Source organism: Homo sapiens, chromosome 4 (genome assembly GCF_000001405.40).
Source record: "Homo sapiens chromosome 4, GRCh38.p14 Primary Assembly".
NCBI lineage: Eukaryota > Metazoa > Chordata > Mammalia > Primates > Hominidae > Homo > Homo sapiens.
In genome coordinates, this window is record NC_000004.12 from 36,488,526 (window position 1) to 36,512,358 (window position 23,833).

Genomic DNA, 23,833 nt, shown 5'->3' on the forward strand with positions numbered 1-23,833 from the left:
ATGTTGCTTGTATGAAGTATTATGATACTAAATCTTTGAACATGCTTTTGTTGCACTGACAATAGACAGGGAAGATATGTTCTCCTATTGTCTTCATCAATTTGTACTTCTATAAAAATACCACAGAACATGATAAAGGACAGAAATTTATGTTATCTCAGATCTTGAGGCCATGAGTTTAAGATAAAGGCACTAGATGGTTTGGTGTCTGATGAGGGTCTGGTCTCTGCTTCTAGGGTGATGACTTATTGCTGCATCCTCTGGAGGGGTGGAATGCTGTGTCCTTACATGGCTGAAGAGACAGAAGGGGTGGAAAATGGTGAACTCCATCCACCAAGCCCTTTTATAAGAGGACCTTATTCCATTCATGAGGGCAGACCAATAAATGTCTCTTAATACTGTTGCATTGGGGGCTATGTTTCAATATGAATTTTTCAGAGAACGAATACATTCCAATTATAGCACCTATTTTTATGAGCATTCTGTCAGTCTACCTGGAGCTTTCAGGCAACCAGCTGTAACTTGACACCCAAAGCATCCGTCCTATTGACTTGAGCAGGAGGAGATCTCTAAATACCCTAGAGTCACTTGGTGTCCAGATAAATATGCCTTCCCTGGACCTGCACTGGAGTTAAGTGCTTGGCCTGCTTCTGCTTTTAATTTTAGTCATGCTGTACAATTCCATCATGAGGAATCTTGGAATCTCATGTTTCTCTCGGTTCCTCTAGCTCAGCCAGCAGCAGTTATGGACAGCAGCCATTTGGTATCTATTTATTTGAAGTAGACACTGATATTTCCCCTTAAAAAGCATTCTAGGAAGTTGCACATAAGCCTGCTAGATCTCATCCCTATGTCAGGCCTGGACAGCTTGCCTAAACATTCAAAGGAAAGATTTGAATGACAGCATTTAACTAGGCCTCTGTTTAGTGCAGGGGATTTTCCCTTTAGGTCTTTATCTTTTTACATAGGTTTAAGTAGATTAGAGAAACATCTCCAAAAACTATCAGAAAAAATACTAGTTTTAATAATGTGCTAATAGACATTATGCAAAAAAGTCTTCCATTGTTGAATAACTGGAAAACTCTAGATAAAACAACTTTACTGAAAGATTGTCAGAAACTGAGATTGTGAACCTCAAAGAGGGGACTATTCTATATGTGCCACCTGTTACATACTTGAATGACTATAAAATATTTTTGGTGGGAGAGGCTCATAGGATTATATTTCTGAGGAACACATTTTGAGAAAATCAAAGTAAGACTATTGTTGTAATGATGCCATGATATGTGTTGGATCTTTATTTTGTGTGGCTAGAGATCCTCTAATCTTGGCAAGCAATAATGTTAGGGCATGCCATTGTTAAGAATAGCAGTTTGATCATCAAACAATCTATCTCAAATAATGTTGAACAAAATTGAATTCCAACATTGTAAGTCATGCTTCCCATCTTCATGAATCACCGATTCTAATAGGAGAAAGATATAAACAAATTATGGTATAAGATGACAGTGACGTGTGAATAATAAGATGGCTAAAAGAATGGAGTAACTATATGTGTCTGGAACAACTATGAAAACATTTTGGAAGGCTGCAAGAGGGAGTGGAGTTTGTGGGATAATAAATATTCAGTTTTGAACATGTTATGCCTGAAGATGCTCATACATCATTCAAGTGGAGATGTAGAGAAGACAGCAGTATTAATGGGTCTGTAGTTCAGAGAAGAATCAGATACAGAATAAATTAGAAAGCACTTATATGGCTTTAAAGCCTTCAGACTGAATGAGATTACCAACAGAGCAGATGCATTCCAAAAAGGGATACGTCCAAGTACTGTAGCTCTTCAGTATTGAGCAGTTAAGAAAATGAGGCAAGAGCAAAGGAGAACACGAAGGAGCAGCTAGTGACATTGCAGTAAAACTGAGACAACATCGCATGTTAGGAGTCAATCAAAGAAGAAATATTTATAATTATTTACCCTGCTGTGCATTCTAATCCAACTATATTTGGCAATTTCTGCCAATATTGCCCATGTAGGCCATAGGTACCTGTATCTGTTCCTACTGTTCCTAATCTGGAGGTCAGAATGGAGTTCTTATAATTCTCAATTATCTTCAGACATAACAGATAAAGCAACACAGGTGCTTTATCTGCTATCTCTGCTGCAATTACTTCTCTGCCACAATCACTTATCTCCTTTTCCAAAATCCTAAAAGTTTTGAAAACCAAAAAGAGATTTGCCATTCACTTGGTAACAACTTCATCTGTCCTTTACTCTTTTGGCAGCAAAGCCTGTTTGAAATGATATGAGACAATTTATAATCTTCATTTCCTGCTTAAAGGAGACAGTCATACATTTTGCTTCCAAAAAATATTTCTGGATTTGATTTTGGCATTGCTATCTTAGACCATTCAGCAGGTACCATGTATCTTTGATGTATGAACCTTATTATTTTTTTCCAAACCTGAAAATTTTACATTCTGAATGACATCTGATTTCAGGGGTATTAGAAAAGTAATTGCCATTTTCTATAAAATTATTCTAGCTCTGTGTACATTTCATATAAAACAATATAGTCTTCCTGGAAATACATTAAGATTGTAATAGGCTGCTGGGTAATAAAATAATTCCATTTCCCACCCTCACCTGGATTTAATCTACTTTCTCTAGGAAGAATAATTTTATAATTGCGAACCCAGAGAAAAAATGTCTTAACTTACAAGGATATTTCCTGAATTTTCTGGCTCCCAGAAGATCATTTGGAAAAAACATCAAACCTTATCCATAATTTGTGTGAGGTCATGTTTGATCAACCTTCTGCATCATTTTTTCAATAGATATTTTGAACCTACTCTATATTAGAACTGGAGGGAAAAAGATTTTCCTGATCCCAATCTGGATGCCTTAATTTACACTTCCTCCTCCATGGGTGTAGGAAAAAATATAGGGCTCTTGAGAGAAAATCCTGACAGACAAGTAAGACTTTTGGAAGCAGGTTCATTGGTGCAATACTATAGGGCTTAAGGGCACTATGTCTGTGTAAATGTAGGGCATTTCTTGGTCACCAATTACCCAAACCTGCTCTATACCCTCCTGTTAAGATGGAGGGTGCCTATGATTTATTACTTGAATGAATGAATAATTTTTTATTTTAAAAAGTCTATTTGGGGAAGAAATTGTGTTTAAATTATTTAATATTTTATACATATCAAGACATTTGTCAAGGGTCTTTGCCCATAATGCTGATTGAAAGTATTAAATGATGCATGGTTATGAAAATGCCAGAAAACTAAAGCCAGGAGACTTGTATTCTCATTTCAACCTTGTCACTAGCACTGTGAACTATAGCACTCTCATTCTAAATGTCATCCTTTACAAAACAAGAATAAAACCATTCTTTGCTTCTGCACAAAGTAATTAGATAATGTACATGATAAGATACAGATAAAAGGAGTGAAAGTATAAAACAATGCAAAAATAAAATCACAAAACAATTTTTATTAGAATTAAGCAAGAAGTTGGATATATGTTTGATATATTTCTATATTCTTTTAATGTATGAATTCTAATATAAATAAAAGGTCTTGCTTATAGAAGGCTAGAGACAAAGCAGAAAAGCTTTTTCCCCAGATGGATAGCAGAGCACTAGATCACTGGAGACGACAGTCTAGAGGTCATGTCTCTTTTGATGGAGATGGCAGCAGCCTGGGCAATGCATTGACACCACACAGCAAAGCAGAAAAGACAGCAGAGGGGTGACAAGAGCAGTGATCCTGGAGAAAAGGACTGCAGTTCAGCAGGAGGTAGCTCTGATTCTATGAGACATTCTCAATGCCCATCTCTGACCCAGCAATTTTAACAGAGAAAATGATTTTACCTAGGATCTTCTACTGGGAGGGTTTAAAGACTCTTAATTTAATTAATTTATCTAAGTATCACTGAGGATTCTCAGGAGTATTTGGGATAAAGAACATTAGAAGTTAGGGGGATCTTTTAGTCAAATTGAGCTTTAGATTGTAAATCTATAGGGTTGTGCTCAACAATAGGCAGGGTCTGTGACACCCTAGTTATACTGTAATCCATAATAAATTGATAAGCAATTTTGGATTCTAATCATTTATATATGTATTTTCTCCCTTTCTTTTATGAATATAATGTGTTCTTATGTATTTTTTATTTACATGTCTAGCAATTGTAAACTCAATGGCAAAGAACATGGATGTATTTAACTTTCCATCCAAATTACTCATAATAATGCTGACTCATAATATAACTAAATATTTTCCTGGTAGATAAGGCAATGAATCAATTAGTTCTGTATTTGAAATGATGAAAAACAAGTGACTTTAATAAACTCTTTTGTGTGTAAAAAAACACTGACCTAGTTATTACATAGCTGTGGTAAACTCTTAGGATTTTGGTTGTTTATTTGTTTACTAATTATGTGACCTTTAGCGATTCATTTAACTTCTAGATCATCTTCAATTGTCCATGTATAGTAAAAAAATGCAAGCTGGACTAGATATTTTCTAAATTTTTTTTATACCATGAACATTATTTGTTTGTATTTTAAAACCAAATAAGCCTCTGTTAAGATGGATGTGTGTTTGTGTGTGTGTTTATGTGTAGATGTAAGATACTGATATGATAAAATGAAGAGTATAAGAAAAAATCTGCGACCAAATGCTGGGATGTTAGTCTAATCAAAAACTAAATTTCTTACTAGTGCTGTCTCTCTTTTAAGTCTCCCCTTTTGTTGTTTTCAAGATAGCATTGGGTATTTTCATGGTGGCAGGAAGAATCCTGGAACCATATTTAAGTCTCTTGTGTGGTTGAATCACTATGGTCTCTACTGCCAAAGTTGGTCATCCCTCAATTAGCTTCGGAGACTTCCTTGTTTTGACACTGTACTTACTCAGCCCATTGGTTTATTATGTCATTTCTAAATGTATCATTAGGCATATGAGAATGCATTACATCATATGTAGGTTGTAGGGAATCTGGGACACTCTCTCAGCCACTGTGAAGCTAACACAGGATGGATACCAGGGGGACTGTGGCATCATGCTGAGTAAATAAGTTTTCCAAACATTTAGCAACTTTCCCAGGATATGGGAAATAAAGCAAGGAGCAAGCCTGGAAGTTTTTTTTCTTTTTTTTTTTCACCTCAAAACACACATGCATTAGTTTTTTATATTAAACCTATTTGGCTATGTCTACCATTCTCTCCCATCAGGTTGACCACCAGGTGAGGTTGACACCAGGGACACCCATGTCTGACCTTTTGTTCTGCCAATTTTTACTCTTCTTTTCAACAATAGAAGAGCTTTCAATCATGAATTCACGTTTCATAGAATCTTCATTTACATTATCTTCCTTATCCATCCGTATAGTTAAAGTAAATACATAAATTAGTCTTGAAAATGAAATAGTATTGAAAGTAAAAAGAAGGGCAAATGGTAAACTGGATGAATGACTGAACAAAATTTTGGCTGAAATCAAGACTGTCCTTGTCATCACACTACCTATGGTGAGATTGTATGATTAAAGTAAACTATGTTTGACTAATATTAAAGAGGAACTTTTAGAGTTTAGAAGACTTCTTTCTTAAGAAAGTATGACTTTCAAAAGTATTGTTTTGCTAGAGACTCTATGAGGTCAGCTTTCAGGCACCACAATAAGCAATGATGACTTCAGTCTGGGCAGGAGCCACATTTCCCTGAAGCAACACTCGCCTTTGGTAGTACTGATTGGGTGCCAGTGGGGGTGATAATTATGAGACTGCCATCATAGAAATATCAAAAGGCCTTCATCTGATATTTTAGAATATTTTTCCTTTACATGTAATATGAGTCTAGGGTAAAAGGCAAGATTTAAACGTAAATTGTATCAATTTTATTGACTGAGAGATTGACCTGTAGTAGATCTTTCTTTTTCTACTTCATTTACTACTTATGTTACAACTTTATCATAATCATTTTGAAACTTTAAAAAATGAGAATGATGCATTTAATTGCACATGTACAGTGAGTTAACTGCGCTCTAAGTAAAGATGAAACCTTAATACTAGAGGTGGTGTACAAAAATATTTTACTCGTGCAAAATGAGGGGTTCTGTTATTTTAATATTAAAGAAAGTAGATGGCCAAATTGTTAATTGCTAACCCATGTTATATTCTGAATTCATGTTTTCGAGAAATGTATTACCAAGAAGTTTTATTTTCTTTCTAATATTAGCAGCCAGAACAATCTGGAATGTAGAATTATAAAGAACACAATTATTTTTCAGTTGCATACACGGAAAGCCTCTAGTGCCCCCAATAGAAGGAAATGCCATAGGTCATTTTAACAATGTTATTTATAGCTATCTGGGTGAGTAAGTTACCAGAGGATGTGACAGGACATTTTAGTTTTCATTATGCAGTTTTCTCATTTGTAAGGTTATGTCATTAGTTTCTAGATGTATGTAGACTGTGTAGGAAGAATATAAACGGGTTGAAATGAGTGGACTCTAAATTCTGAAGTGTCTAAAATGTACTTTAGAATGGCTGAATGGCAAAGGCAGAGGGAAATGGAGGTCAAATGAATAATTAAATAGGGCTTTGATGGTTAACAATATCTAGGTTATTACAATTTTGTTAAGCATTTGCAGTTGGGGAGGATTAAAAAACATTAATGGAAAAATCAAAAGGTACAATTAAAAGCAGTTCAAAGCCCAAGTTTATTTTTTTAGAGTAAGCAAATTAGACTACCAAAAGGTCAAAATAATTTTAAATTAGGAAAAAAAAAAAACACAAGTGTTAAAGGAAGAGAATATGAAGCGAGCAGTCATCTGGAAGGTACCCTGACAAGCAAAAGATAGGAATATCCAGCTTCCACTTGGACATCTACCAGAAGGGGTACAAGTTTTGTATAATGAACATGCACGGTTACTCATTTAAACAGGCTAAGGCTAAGAAAACCCAGAGAAACAAAAATGTTTGGGATGGGGATGTAGGTTCGGGTGGGTTAAGTTAAAAATTTCGGCCTGGCGCGGTGGCTCACGCCTGTAATCCCAGCACTTTGGGAGGCTGAGGTGGGTGGATCAAGGGGTCAGGAGTTCAAGACCAGCCTAGCCAAGATGGTGAAACCCCATCTCTACTAAAAAATACAAAAAATTAGCCCGGCGCAATGGCAGGCACCTGTAATCCCAGCTACTTGGGAGGCTGAGGCAGGAGAATTGACTCGGAGGGTGGAGGTTGCAGTGAGCTGAGATCATGCCACTGCACTCCAGCCTGGGTGACAGAGACTCCATCTCAAAAAAAAAGAAAAAAAAATTCATGAGTTAAAATGGAAGGAAGCTTTGGCAAAAGAAAATACAAAATTAGATTCTTAATTGCCAGCTTCCTCTATCAAATTGAGGAAAAGATAGATTATACCATTAACAAAAAATAGGCACAAGATGCATACACCGAAAACATCATCCACTTAGAAATGAAGCATTTTGATATAAAGCCCCAGTAGAATTAATTCTTGTCTCCTGTGCAATTATAAAGCCACTTTCTAAAGAAAATTTGAATCATAAAACAAAACTACATTATTAATAAATAAGAAAAAGAGACAATGTTTATTTTTAAGTTTAATAAGATGTTTCAAATTTGCATGAAGGCAGGTTCACCAAGACAGTTTCCACATACATCTGGTGACAAATTTTCAGACCTGATAAAATGTTTGTGAGTCTTTCTTCATTACTGTGAAATGTACAAGGCTTAACTGTTTTCTTTTTAATCAGCAAAGTTAGAACAAGATATTTATCTACTTCTTTAGGCATTTCAGTGTCATCAGAAGGTAATAAAAGACAGAAAATGAAAATAAGAAAATGGAAAATAAAATTTACCATGAAATAGCAACACAGGCAAAATGTATACTTAATTTGGATTGTGTACGCCAAGTGATTTGTGTTTGTAACAGTGCTATGTGACTTGTGAAGACAGATTCTCAATAGTAGAATGGAAAATAACTAAATTCAAATGTTTCCCAAGGAGTTAGAGATAAGATATATGGTGCATTAAATTAACTACTGCATATAAAGAAGAATTGATGCACATAAAGCTGGAAACCAAATGATGCTACTAGCCAAGGTCATTGACTAGATCTATGCAGATAGTACTCTGCATAACTTTACAGGATACCATTTAGGCCTCTTTATCCAGGGACTACAAAATAGTAGACTGTTAACTTTTTATTTCATAATTGTATTGGCTGAGCTAAACAGGTTAAATTCAAGACAGCTTAACCCCAAGTTGTCAGCTGGTTATTTGAACAAGTATTCCAGGGCTTTAGTTGAATTCAGGATGAAGTTTCCTCACATCACTTCACTTTTCATCTCTTGCCACAATATCCTAACCTCAGCTTCTGATGTGGTGGATAAGATGACCCCTCCACTCTCTCCAGTCACAATTGCCATGCCCCCACCTGGTGTCTGGAGCAGAAACTCAGGGCATGGGAATCATCGCATTTCCAGCTTTCCACAAATTGAAACTAGTATTGACTTTAAGGAAACAGAAGGTAGGTAAAATGATATGGGAGAATAATAAGTTAAGCAAAAACTACTGCCAATTCCAGATCTGTCTTGGGATCTCTTACTAGACCAGTTCTTTGGTTTATATCAGTTCTATGTCACTTAGGGAAGATCACAGTATCCCTCCCACCCCTTAACATCTAAAACCACTTAGAGTCTGGAAGGTTTCCTTTCTCTTCTCTATCTCCCGCTTCCACCAAGACCCATAGAGCAAGTTTACTCTCCAGCTTTTAAAAAAGCTTGCCAGCTCAAGGTCTTAGTTGTCTAGGATGAATGACAGCAGGAACATCAAATCTCTTAGGGAAAAATATCAGCAACCTAACTTATAAGGATGTGCTCTGGCTCCAGTGCCCCTAAAGACAATTTTAAAGATATTACAACATAAGCACAGTGTGAAATATATCAGCCTTATTCATAGTCTCTTAATGTGGGTTTATGTGTTTATAATCACCCATTTGTTTTTTAATCACCATATTTGTTAATGCAAAATTGTACAAAAGAACAGTCACTTTTATTATCTTTGGGTAGATTTGTACCTCTATTTTACTGAGTACATTATGGTGAATAATATTAACTTGAAAAAATAAAAGGCCAGTTGGCCAAGTTAAGTCCCATTAGTTCAGGAGTCTATGAACACCCAGAGGCTTAAATATCCTATTTCAACATCGTGAAGTTTAGGGAGAAATATTATGTAGGCACAGGAAATAGAAAATAGAAGAAAACCCAATTTGATCTTTGGGTACAAAAATCACACATATGTTTTCTATGCTTTATCAATTATCTAGAAGAGATTCACTTTCTAGCTGAAACAACAGTTTATGAATCTCCCATCATAAATGTTAATTTCCAAAATAATACCTTCAACACTTGGCACTCACTAAACATCTGTTAAATGCAAATGCAGTATGTTTTTAAAGTAATGGCTGTTAATGACCACATCTACTAAGTATCTATTTAACTGAAGGAACATAATGTGGGTTGTGGGGAAATATGATTTGATTTATTTCATGATTATAATATCAAATATGACTTTCATGCAAGGATTAAAGAAATATTTCTGAATTTACTATTTTTGTTTTTAGTTTATTCTAATCTCTATTGTTAATGACTTCTTTATATTCACTTTGAGAGCCTGCAGTATTAGACAATTAAGTGTCTTCATTGAATAAAGACGGTAGTTGCGCACAGGAAAGAGAAGCTTTTGTAGCTCTTTTGTTTCCATATAGGAAAATCTGAATCCATCCACAAGGCCTGGTTTATGGCTCTTCCAGGTTGTGGCAGCAATTTTTTCATAGTTCTTTATTAGAAATGATTGTATTGAGCTCTTTGTAGTTAAGTACTTACCTTCTTTGTTGTTGTAGTGTCTAGGGTGGTGATAATATGTAGAAGATGTTCAATCAATGCTTCTAGGAAAGTAAGAATAAGTGAATAAATGGTTGAATGGATGAAACCTTAATGAGGCAAAAAAAGATGCATTCAATTTTCAAGAAACAAGAGGTTAAGGTACAAAATTCTTTAACGTTTAACCTTTTATTCTTGCATTCCCCAGCACCACCAACCTATTTACAATGATTTAAAATTATGTTATAATATTGTGATGAAACATTAGTTTCATCTTTTATCCTATGAGAAAATGTGTCTATGGAGTAACAAAGGCTTCTGAGGGAATGGACTGAACTGATAGCTTTTACAAGAAAAACATATAGATTCTTTCCTATGGCAAGCATCAGGGACTTGGCAGAACTAATATAAAAAGAAAAAATGAGTTTGAGCTTCTGTTTCTGTTTGTGAAATCCATATTTTATATTACAGTGATTGCCAGGAGAATTCAGAAAAGCTGAGATGTATTAAAAAATAAAACATGTAACCTTCGGAAGAGCCCTTCTCTAAGAATCTTTTCTTCTACACAAAGATGTTATTAACTGTAGAGTTAATCTGAAATTGCAGAGATTTCAATAAGAAAGATCATTGTCAACATTTCCATTGCAGAAATAATGTTTCATTTTTCTAGAATTAATCACAACATTTTAAAACCATATGATACATGAAAAGTAAGGATGGAGACTGCGTAGAGATTTGCTCTTTGAAATGTAATTTAGAGACCACATTGGGGTAGATTTTGCCATAAATGTCCCCAATCATATATTATGCATACCAGGCCCTTAATGCAATAAAATTCCTGAATGTTAATCATTATTATGTAGGTAACAAGATAATTCTTGTTATAAATGATATAAATAAGACACATCACTTGATATTGAATGTAAAATTTCCGGAGTGGTTGAAAGAGAAAATCCTGCAAAGTGAAAACGGCCATATGTAAATTGACGTTTAAAGGACTTGTGACCTCATCTGCCAAACCAGGACTTTAGCCCCGTGATGATACTGGGAATGCCCATATGGCAGGGTCTCAATGCATGCTGGGCATCTACGTTTTTCTTCTCACTTTGTTTTCTTGGTAAGGATCTTAGTTTCCTGCTGTTACCATAACTACCCAGTGATAGAGCCAGCTGCTACTAATAAAAATCCCTCTTCAACCCATCAGGTGTATGTTCTCCTAGACCTAAGTTTCCCCAAAGATAGGCTGTGTCTAGTATAAATAAAGAGAATATCCTCTACTTAAGCTTTTTATTGTTTTAATTTAAAAAATTATTATAGTGGACATACAATAATTATACATATTTGTGGAGTACAGTATGATATTTTGTTACATGTATACAATATGTAAAATCAAATCAGAGTATTTAGCATATCTTTCGCCTCATAGATTTATTTCTTTGTGGTGAGAATATTCAAAATTCTCTCTTCTAGCTATTTTGAAATACACAATATAATATTGTTAACCCTAGTCAACCCACTCTGCAATAGAACACCAAACTTATTTTTCCTATCTGTAATGCTGTACCCATTGACCAATCCCTATCCTCTCATCTCTCCTCCTCTCCCCAGGTCCCAGTAGCTACTATTCCACTCCCTACTACTATGAGATCAACTTTTAGATACCACATATGAATGAGATCATCCAGTTTTGTCTTTTGGTGCCTGGCTTATTTCACCTAACCTAATGTCCTTCAGGTTCACCCATGTTGCCACAGATGACCGGATTTTATTGTTTTCTATGGATGAATAGTATTCCATTGTATGAATATACCACATTTTCTTTATTCATTCATCTATTGATGGATACTTGATTCCATTTCTTGTCTATTGTGAAGAGTGTGGCAATAAACATGAGAGTGTAGATATCTCTTCAGCATACTGATTGCATTTCCTTTGGATATGAACCCAGTTGTGGGATTGCTAGAATACATGGTAGTTCTATTTATATATTTTGTGGAATCTGCATACTGTTTCCCATAATGGCTGGACTAATTTATGTTCCCACCTGTGTATAAGTCCCTCTTTCTCCACATTCTTGCCAACATTTGTTATTTTATATGTTTTCGATAATAGCCATTCTAACAGGTGTGGGGTGATTTTTTCTCTAAAGTTTTGATTTGTATTTTACTACTGATTAATACTGCTGAACATTTCTTAGGTCAGGCGCAGTGGCTCACGCCTGTAATCCCAGCACTTTGGGAGGCCGAGGAGGGTGGATCACGAGGTCAAGAAATGGAGACCATCCTGGCCAACACGGTGAAACCCCGTCTCTACTAAAAATACAAAAATTAACTGGGTGTGGGGACGTGCGCCTGTAGTCCCAGTTACTCAGGACGCTGAGGCAGGAGAATCGCTTGAACCTGGGAGGCGGAAGTTGCAGTGAGCTGAGATGCCGCCACTGCACTCCAGCCTGGCGACAGAGCAAGACTCCGTCTCAAATAAATAAATAAATAAATAAATAAAGCTGGACATTTCTTCATATACCTTATGGCCATTTATAAGTCTCTTATTGAGAAATGTCTATTCAGGTCTTTTATCCATTTTTAAATTGGATTATTATTATATTATTTTTTTCCTGTTGAGTTTCTTATTAATGATGAATATTAACCCTTTGTCAGATACATAGTTTATAATTTTTTTTACCATTTTGTAAGTTGTCTTTTTACTCTATTGGTTATTTCCTTTGCTGTGCAAAAGCTTTTTGGTTTGATATAATTCTATTTCTCTACATTTGCTTTCATTGCTTGTGCTTTTATCTCATCCAAAAATTCCTTGCCCAGACCAATATGATAAAGTGTTTCCTCTGTTTTCTTCTAATACTTGTATCATTTCAGGTGTTACATTTACGTCTTTAATTCATTTTGAGTTGACTTTTTTTTTTTTTTTTTTTTTGAGATGGAATCTTGCTCCGTCGCCCAGGTTGGAGTGCAGTGGCGTGATCTTGGCTCCCTGCAGCCTCCACCTCCCAGGTTCCAGTGATTCTCCTGCCTTAGCCTCCTGGGTAGCTGGGATTACAGGCATGCAACAATATGCCTGGCTAATTTTTGTATTTTCAGTAGAGACGGGGTTTCACCATGTTGACCAGGCTGGTCTCAAACACCTGACCTCAGGTGATCTGCCCCCTTCAGCCTCCCAAAGTGCTAGGATTACAGGCATGAGCCATGGTGCCTGGTCGATTTGATTTTTTTAATATGGTGAGAGATAAAAATCTAGCTTTATTCTTCTGATTCTTCTGCATGTGGATATCCAGCTTTCCCAACACGATTTATAGAAGAGATTGTCCTTTCTCCATTGTGCATGCTTGGCAACTTTGTCAAAAATCAGTTAGCTATAAGGTCATGGATTTATTTCTGTGTTCTCTATTCTCTTCCTTTGGTCTATTTGTCTATTTTTATTGCTACTACCATGCTATTCTGTTTATTATTGCTTTGTAGTATATTTTGAAGTCAGGAAGTATAATGCATCAAGCTTTGGTCTTTTTGGTCAAGATTGCTTTGGCTATTTGAAGTCTTTTGTGGTTCCATACAAATTTTAGTATTGTACTTTTCTATTTCTGTGGAAGAATATCATTGTTATTTTGATATTGCTTACACCAAATCTGCAGATCACTTTAGACATTTTAACAATATGAATTCTTCCAATCTATGAGCAAAATTGCCCTGTTTGCAGATGACATGATCATGTATATAGAAAACCCTAAATATTTTACTAAAAAAACTCTTGGAACTAATAATCAAATTCAGTAAAGTTTTAAGATACAAAATAAACATACAAAAATCTATAGCATTTCTATATATGAATAGAAAACTATCTGAAAAATAAGAGAGCCTCATTTACAATAGCTACAAAAAACACTTAGAAATAAATTTAATCAAGCAGGTAAAAGATCTCTACACTGAAAACTATAACATTGATGAAAGAAATTGAATAAGACACAAAGAAATGGAAATATATTCTATACTCAATCTCTCTTAAATTTAGCCTTTGTCACAAAGACATAAAAGTAATGCTGCTTATGACTCACAATTGAACTTTCAGTGAATCACATTTAGTGAAAGGAGTTTCTCCATGTTCTTGCTATGGGTGGGTCTCCTTCAGGTCTCAGGCTCAGTTAAGAGGCTTATCAGAGTTCTAATCTCTGAGACATACATTCTGTAGTACTATGTATTTCTCTCCACCTTCTTTCAACCTTATTTTTCTTCCTTACTGTATGTTCAGTCATTCATCAGGGCCTAGAGTTATACTATGTTTTCCAATGCCCACAGTAAGGTTTAGGTTTCACTTTGAAACTTTTGCTATTAATATTTACATATTGACCTAGTAAATATGGTCTGGTCTACTTAATAAGAAACTAACATTTGGGCTGGGATTGGCTGGGAGAAATGAGTATATCAGACCTAGGGTACTATGATATATTTATTTCCTCAAATTTTTGTCCAAAAATATAATTTTCTTTGTTTTCCAGATAGAAGCCTTCTGATTGAATGTACATAGATCTGTATCAGGAAACCCAAGAAATAAAAGTATTAGGCTTAATTGTTAATGTGTCAAGTGCTTATTCTTTCATATATTTAATGTGTTTTTCCTAATTTTATTAATAAACTATAGAAGATCTTGTCAAAATAAAAGTAAATTTACTAGTCTGTGAAAAGAAAGGCCCAGGCCACATGCTTTGAGTGTTTTCCAGACCTCTCCTAGGCGTCCTAGTCTCTATTCTATTATGCATTAATTTTGTGGCCATTGTTGATCACACAATTGTTTTGACTCAGTGGCTTCATGTGTAAAACAAAGATACTCATGCAGTATAATCTGACCTGAACGATTATTAGAAAGAAATGTCTAAGATCTTCACAGATGAACATAAGATGTTACATAAATCAAAGATTTTGAATACTTCTCATTTTCCTAGGCAAGAAAGGACATTTTAAGACACTTATTGTTATATATGCTTGTATATATGTAAAATGGGTTAATAGTAAAGAGACCCTAGAGTCATTGAAAGGCTTAAATGAGTTAGAACATAGATAGTGTTGAGAACAGTATTTAGTGCCCAGTACATAGTCAACAAACATTAGCTGTAATTACCAGGCCACATGTTTCACTCTGTGACCCCGCCCCAAGACAAGAGTTGACTGACTGAGGTGTGGACATCTGAATAATGTGGACCATTCAAATCTCCATCTCTTTCTGTCTCTCTGTCTGTCTTTCCCTCTTTCTTTTGAATGTTCGTGTGCATATGGATGTGCTCACAAATTTCAACTTAGAGGAAGGGGAAAAGGCGATGCTATGAATTGGGAGCTAACTTACGTCCATAAAGGTCCAGTTGGAAGTTTCAGAAGTTCTGCTGTTGAGGTCTTGGGAGCTCCTATTACAATACCATCACAGTTTAATTTTTTCCTTGGCTTTAATGGTATTCCCCCAGCATGATTCAAATAAATTCTCAGTTTTGGGGATTGTGTGTTAGTTAGCTCAGTGAAATTGCTGTCCTTTGCAATTAAAAAAAACAATGCATACAGATTATATGTGCTATTTAACTGATTCAGTAATTACTCTTTATAGTTTGGTGTACAAGATATAGTCATATGGCAGTACTTTTACCTCATGAGCTACTAATTAGTTCCATGTGGAATACTTCAAAATACTTTTGAAATTGTCCAAGTTAGAAATATGTTCTAACAGTCATATTAATGAATATAGGAAAATACTTGTGTTCTAGAAAACCAGGCCAAGTGACATTTGTGAAATGTAGGAAAGAAACAAATAAGGGACCAGATCATAGATTTCTTCACTCATTATAAGGGCAATTTGATTAAATCTTAATAATTAGTAATTATTTTGTAAAATATCAAAATTGATTTTTAAATTGTAAAGTTTGAATTTGGAATTACATTTTTGCATGGAAATTTAGATTTTTTTCCAGGAAATAAGTGGCTATTTATAATTAACTAACATTATTCATAAATTATTTTTATGAGTTATTTTGTATATTTTTTGCAGACATTTTCATTTTTGTCAAGTAGGATAATCGTGTCAAGTTGAAGTACTTAAAAATAAAGAAATAAACTCTATTATGGGTTAAGAAGACATTTTCTTCTCAGTGGCTGCGTGTCTAGTTATTCTTCTTATAAAATACGTTTACTCAAAACAAGGATTATGTGTGATTTCATCTGTGCCAATTCTAAATAGAAATATCATTATAAACCTAATGTCAAATTCTAATCACATTTGAAAATTTTTAGAACAGCTTCATTTGTTTGAAGAAATACAAGGAAAAAATCCATCCCCCCATTCTCTCAAATGCATAGTATTGACAAATTAAAAAAAAAAACTTTTGAAAAGGATACAAAATAAAACAAAGGGAATATTAGAGGATTTCTCTAAATGAAAGGAAGGATGACTGATTCTGGTAGTCTTTGTCCTCCAAAGATACACTTATTACTTAGTTCAACTATATTTATGAATTGTCTACCATAATCCAGGTGCTGGGCTTGGCACTGGAGATTAGGGTAGAAAAGAAAGGCTCAGTGTCTGCTTTTACGGCTTCTAAGAGATTTTAGGACAGCAAAGATCATTATTGACATTGCCAGAAATGTTTGCTGAGAACATCAAGAATTGGTATCTAAGATTCTATATAAAGGGATAAAACTAAACAGACAGACAAAATCTCAAATATAAAAGATAAAATATCGCAAGTTGGCACCATTGAATGGAGGACGAAATTCTCCTACATCCAAAACACTTTAAGCAAGACTGCTTTCTGGCTAAATACTATAGTGGCATTCATAATAATTCCAAGTCATCACTTTTAAAAAATGACTCTAAGTCATTATCCAGCAACTCTGTTCCCTTGGCGAACATCTGTGTAACTAATATGTATTAAGTGACTATTGAATGCCGGAAACTGGTCTAGCAATGAGAATTAGCAATAAACTAGACAGATGAAATCTATGTTCATGGAGTAAATGTTTTATGCATGTAAAATGTATATAAAGCTTATTTAAGAAGAAAAAATAGAGTCTAATATAACTGTTATCATGAGAACCTGGAATTTTGTGTTGGTTATTTAAAAATTTGCTTTAATTTTCTCCCCCAAATATTGAAAATATGCCCAATTTCTTTTAAGAACATCTTAGCACAGATCGTTAGTGGCTTAAATGACTTAAAATGAATTTTAGAACCAAATTTACACACAATATTTGAAGAGACATGTTTTATGATAGCAATGAAACATTTTGTTTGAAACATTCTTGTAAATATAGGTAAGAAAAAGGGAAGTATTTTGAAGATTTACTCCTTTAACCAATCCAATCTTTTTTCTAAAATACTGCCTCCACAGTTGTCTGCATAAATTTATTCTTTGTCAAAATTACTTATTGCTAGTCCTTAAAAATTATGTGCCTTCTAATTATATTAGATTTTCCAATCCCTGGAGCCAAGGTGGTGAGTACTACCAGAAGTGTCTGTCACATTTCTCCCTCTCTCTCAACCACAGTAACAGACTGTGAAGGCCAGTGTAAGTGTTTTGAACTCAAGTAACCAAGAGAGAAGATGTGCTCTTTGATACTACAGACAAGGCAGCAATAGGGCCATGAAAGAAGAATGTTAAAAGGTGTTTCATGTATAATGAAATCCCCCTGGAAATAATATCAGATGAACTAAGGGACTATGTAAATCAACTTTCACCTGATGTGCATTGCCTTATTTTTAATTACCTCCTTCTGTAGGATATCATGTGTATGGAATGTTTTCAGAAAGCTAAAGAAAGCAATGTCCTTGTATCTGAGAGTTGTGAAGGTTGTGGGTCCTGTGCAGAGTGGTGGTGAAAATACATCCCAAGTGGCTTTACAGATTTCCAGTTTTCCAACACTTTAATAAGATGTCAGACATCAAACAACTACATGGCCTTCACCCTAGATACCTTGAGAGGTGGAGAGTACAAGACCATGAGACATTTAGCATTCTAGGAGTCCTAGAAGCTTTGCAAGCATATCCAAAGTTACTAGATGTGGAAACCTCTCATTTGTAGTTGGCAGAGTCCATTTGGACAAATATGGCACATGTTCTGTAGGTTACCTACAGCATAACCTACTGCCGCTGTGGGTTATATTTTAGGGAAATTCTTGTAATGAATGATGAATCATTTCTGACTCCTCCTGAAAATAAACTGAAAATTTCTATGAGATCCAGAATAAAAACTTCATGTTTAGTAGGGGTAAATGTTCCTGAAATTCTTTATAGTTCAACCCTCAGACACCTCTATTTGGAGTAGTTAAAAGTTACTAAACCACTGCTGTTTAAAAGCTTTCTGTGCATCAGCTTAAGATCTTTCATCATGAGGAAATGTAAAGGACCCTTAAATTCCTGAAAATACATCTTTTTAGTAACATATTTAGCCTCTTCCTGAAACTAGGAACACCTAGAAATGGTTCCAGTTCCTTTCATTGTAGGTCTCATCTGATATGTAATTGGAGGCAGTTAGAGATCACATGATTTTAGAAATTTGTGCAGTATTGTTTGGGGAGTTTGCAAAAATGCTCTTAAAAAAGATCTTAGTTCTTCACCCTCACTGCCCTGTAGCTTACATAAAGTTTGAATCCAGCATTCCTGAACCAACAGTTATGTCTTTTTTTTTCATTAAGATGTCAGAGTTGAAGTTCTACAAGTGTGAAACCCACCATCTGGGATATGTAGATGAGTGAGCTGCAGAGCAGAATGGCTGATGCAGATCTGGTAAAGTATGGTTTGACTGATGTGGTAGAATATCCTGGTATCATCATCATTATAGGAATAAAGGTAATCAATGAAGTTTTTCCTATATCAAATATCTGTAATTTATAACTGTCTTATCTATATAAACCATACTATTGGATCTCAGACCACTCGAGATGGAATTGATTGGTTAATATCAGCCTAGTTCAGTGCCATATACTGAAGCCTGATTCCTTCGGCCAGTTTATTGAATTGTTGCCCAGTTGGAGTTTATTTGACTGGACTATATTGTTTCGTCAACCACTCAAGGGCTATACTTGAGTTTGCTTTAGTGCAGGCATAGGAATTTGGGTTTCCTTGGCCCTTGTTAGCAAATAGATCTCCAAGAGTAACAACGATAATAATGCCCAGAATAATAATGCCAACATCCCAAGACAACAATTGCCATCACAAAGATAACTCAAATGAGGACAATGACTTTCAGCAAGACCTGCAACCAGGACAGCAGCAGTTTGCACCTGACACGTTGAATGAGATGGAAGACAAGTGCAAGAAGATGGAGAGGTGGTGGCTGAGAGTGGAAGTAATACTCCAGCTAATAGGCAATTATTTTTGTGAATACTAATGAGAAATAAGCAGGACCCAGTAGTCTTCAGTATGGAGTAAAACCAACATCAGTTACTGTTCATTATTCAGAGTGATGATGAAAAAGACAACCTAGAACTTCAAGAAGTCTGGACTCTTAAGAAGGGTGCTTGTCAATTACTCTGAGCTTAAATTACAAATCAGAGAGTCAGTATAGTCCATAGCATTGTCAGACGTTGCCAAAACAAAGTCACACCATGCCATGAAGCCGAAGTAGATGGCAGATAACCCCATCAGTGTCAGTGATCCTGTGATAAAGGGTGACCATGTGCATGTCTTTGTATTAAAATCCAAAAATCTTGTGGAAATAATTATGACAAACTATGAAGTCACAGATCTAGTGCTGAAAAACTGTTTCAAGATGAGATTCATTCATATTATGAGGCACAAGTTACTGAAACATCTAAAAATAGAAAATGCACAAATTGTAAATTAATTTGACTATGTACAATACAAAAAACTAAATATGGATTACACATTAGACTAGATACTAAGGATGCCTCCTGAAAGAAATCATATCATATACCTATGCCCAATGTAGCAGGTAAACGCACTACCTTTGGAGCAGAAGTTATTCAGTGGTCTCTACCCCTGTCTATCATATCTGTATTATCCATGAATTCAGTAACCCTCCCAATATCTGGAACAAAGAGTGGATTTGCAGCTGAATAGACACAATAGAAAACATCAATCAAGCATTTGTTAAGTATGAACACTTCCATGAAGCCACTTAAAATGAAGATCACTTCCCTTTCACTGCTCCTGAGTACCCCTGGGAATGAAAAATGTATATTTAGAAAGTGCTGTGGTTGGAGCTTCCTGGCTGAGGTCACTATAGCTGCAGAGTCCAACAGCTTTGCCTATATGAATTTGAAAATAGTGAAGCGAACACCGTCCATGCTCCTTGAAGGAAACTATCTGTAGATTTTTGTATTAAAATAATAGAAGAAGAAATTCCTAAGACCCAGCCCATGAAAATGGTCATGAGCAAGTGGTGGCAATTTGCATCCAATATTGTGTTAATGCAGAGCCAATTGAAATGACTACATTTGATTGGTTCCTTCTGCTTTCCAGCAATTCTGGCAGAAAGCAGATGCCAGCCAGGGTTATTCAGCAGCCAGAGTACAGTAAATCCTCACTTACTGTCTTGATAAGTTCTTGGAAACTGTAACTTTAATCAAAATGAGGTGCAATGAAGCAAATTTTAACATAGACTAATTGATGTAAACAAGAGTTAAGTTCCTACAGCATATTTCTGGTCACAAAAACATCACCAACTTCTAAATGAAGAGCAAAACACTTCTAATATTAAACATTAAAGTAAGCGTGTGCTATACAGACATTTAAGACAGATTAATAAAAACAAGCAAGGTAATTATTGTACCCACTTACTCCAGTTTAGAGTTGCAGGTGGCTGGAGTCTCTCTCTATAGCTCAGGGTACAAAGTGGGAATTTACCCTGGACAAGATGCCATCTTATCACAGGGTGCACTCACACACACCCATATTCACTCAGACAGGGACCACTGAGACACACTAATTATTGTAACGTGTATAGCTTTGAGATGTAGGAGGAAACTAGAGTACTCAGAGAAAATCCTTCAGACATGGGAAGAATGTGCACACCACACAGACAGTGGCCTCAATGGTAATCGATTTATTTAGTTTTATCATCAATGTTATAAGGAATCAACACTCAACAAAACAGTGTTATTTGAGGATCTGCTGTGTTCCACAGGGACTCGAGTCATGCAGCTTGGAGGTCCTGCCTCAGTTTGTTATACAGAAGATGCATAAGGAGCATTGAAATTGTATGCAAAGGTTTACACATAGAGGAAATAAAATGACATTTCCTAAAGGAATAACCTTATACCATATGTTTATATAATTTAATTTAAAAATTGATTTTAATGAAGGCAGATAATTTGAAAGATTGCTCATATTTTCTGACAGTTGATAAAATGCCATTTTTTGACTGAGTCTGCATTTACTCTGTTCTTAATAAGCATTCCGTTAAATCTGTATATTTTTCTTATAGAGTGAAGCTCAGTAAATCTGATGAAGAGTGAAAGATAAATAAATCATTAAATTTGACAATCCCTATAGACATACAGAGGATTGGATATATTCTTCTTAGCAACTGTTTAGGCTTTTTGATGTTTTCAAAGATGATGTAACTGGAAGAAACAATGCTTGAGATATAGCAGAATATTTCATCATTTTCACCTTACAGCACAGAAGCAATTTGTCAATGACTCTATACTACGTACCCTGAAGCGTGACCTCCAATAACAATCAGTGTTTATTGCCAGAAAGCAGATTTGAAATATGGTTGAAAGCAGAAAAGCAGAGATGTTCAGGGTTGAATCTCTTGTGTCCTCTGAATGCAGAAACTTCGTTTTGAATATTCTTTAGCTGTAAGACCTACTTTCCATAGTCTTTCTGCTCCTATGATTCCAATTGTGCAACCTGCATTTTATAAGCATGCTTTAAAAATATGTGTTAAACATTTGGTTAGATATTCAATATGACTTTTATTTAATTATTAGAAGTATCTACCCATCTTTATGGACTGAGTTGCATCTCCCCAAAATTTGTATACTAAAGTCATAACTCCCATTATCTCTGAATGTGACCACATCTGGAGATAAGATCTTTAAATAAGTAAATTAAAATGAGGTTACTAGGAATATGACTAATGACCTAATATGAAAAATATCCTTATAAGAAGAGGAAATGTGGACACAGCATGTGTAGAGGTAAGACTATGAGAAGACACTAGGACAAGATGGCCATCTATAAGTCAAGGAGAAAGGCCACAGAAGAGAGCAACACTGCCCAAACCTTATGGACTTCTAGCATCCAGAATGAAAATAGAAATTTCTATTGTTTAAGCCATTCAGTTAATTATACTTCGGTATGGCAGCCCTAGCAAACAAATACATCATCTTTATTCTATTTTATCCAGTCCCAGAGATGGGTTTTTTCCTCCAGTCACGACCGTGATCTCATTTTCTCCTGTCTCCACCTAGAACATTGCTAATCAGTTATACCTTCATTCATCTGTCTTCACTTTCTCTCTACTTACATGTTCCTCTCAATTTGCTTAACTTTTCTGCCACCATCTTTTGACTCTATCTTTACTTTCTTTATTATCTCCACTTTTCAGAATAGTAATCTGTACTGAGTAAAACCACTCACATCACCCATCTACCAGTCAACCTGGTGGAGTCAGGATTATACAATAGCCCTCTATTTATAATAATTTATTCTTGTTAAGGTCTCCAATGATCTAATGGATAAATACAGTGGTTACTTTTTAGTCATTAATTTATTTTATCTTCTTGAAGTTTAGCTTGATCTCCTTAAAACTCTCCAATGGTTACCATATTTTTTTTTCACTGTTTAATCAAGTAATCTATTCTCTTCCGGAAGCCCATCACCTTTGAAGTGTTGGTATCATTTGTGTTTCTCTCTCTGGCCATCTTCTCTACCTTCTTAATACTGTATTCTTAGGCAGTCTCAGCCATTCTAATGACTTTATTGATGGCCTGATCACCAATATGTTAATGATCTAGAACCAGAAATACCATTTGACCCAGCAATCCCATTACTGAGTATACACCCAAAGGATTATAAATCATTCTACTATAAAGACACATGCACATGTATGTTTATTGCAGCACTATTCACAATAGCAAAGACTTGGAGCCAACCCAAATGCCCATCAATGATAGACTGGATAAAGAAAATGTGACACATACACACCATAGAATACTATGCAGCCATAAAAAAGGATGAGTTCATGTCCTTTGCAGGGACATGGATGGAGCTGGAAACCATCATTCTCAGCAGACTAACACAGGAACAGAAAACCAAACACCACATGTTCTCACTCATGAGTGAGAGTTGAACAACGAGTACGCATGGACACAGGGAAGGGAACATCACACTCCAGGGCCTGTAGCGGGGTGGGGGGCCAGGGGAGGGATAGCATTAGGAGAAATACCTAATGTAGATGATGGGTTGTTGGGTGCAGCAAGCCACCATGGCACATGTATACACATAAACCTGCACATTCTGCACATGTATCCCAATACTTAAAGTATAATAATAATAAAAAAAGAAATTTCAAGAGATCTGAATTTTTTTTTTTGCTGACTTGAGGAATTAGACATTCTGAACATTGTGGATAATAAATGCTTATCTTCTCAATTTCAGAACATGTTAGAAAAAGTAGAGAAGATTAAAAAACATTTTAAATAATTACACGGAGCAAACATGAGTTAATGTTTCTAATTTCATTTTATTGTTACTGCTATTACAGTAAGAAAGACCACAGTGTAGCAGTGCAACATAATTCTACTAAAAGGTCAAAGTCTTCCCTTTTAAAGTTTGTAATACCTGATATACACTAAATGTCTAGTACACTAAAAGATTTCAGGTATGTGTTTGCTCAAAATATATTTAGTAACAGCTTAATATAAATTAAATACTTTTCAGATTGATCCTATTTGTAGTATATTAATTGTATTTCTATAG

General features: G+C 35.2%; 1 long non-coding RNA gene and 1 pseudogene across 1 annotated transcript in view; one reads left to right on the top strand and one right to left on the bottom strand.

The window, feature by feature from the left end:
* Window positions 1-8,011: 8,011 nt before the first annotated feature.
* The window catches only part of LINC02505 (long intergenic non-protein coding RNA 2505), a 145,364-nt gene continuing 129,542 nt past the window's right edge, over window positions 8,012-23,833 (bottom strand). Inside the window, exons 4-5 of the long non-coding RNA NR_149124.1 lie at window positions 9,902-9,963; window positions 8,012-8,527 (exon numbers count right to left, since the gene is read on the bottom strand). This is a non-coding gene — a long non-coding RNA (long intergenic non-protein coding RNA 2505). The remainder of the gene's footprint in view (window positions 8,528-9,901; window positions 9,964-23,833) is intronic.
* LOC100130532 (F-box protein 38 pseudogene) lies at window positions 18,041-20,415 on the top strand (annotated as a pseudogene).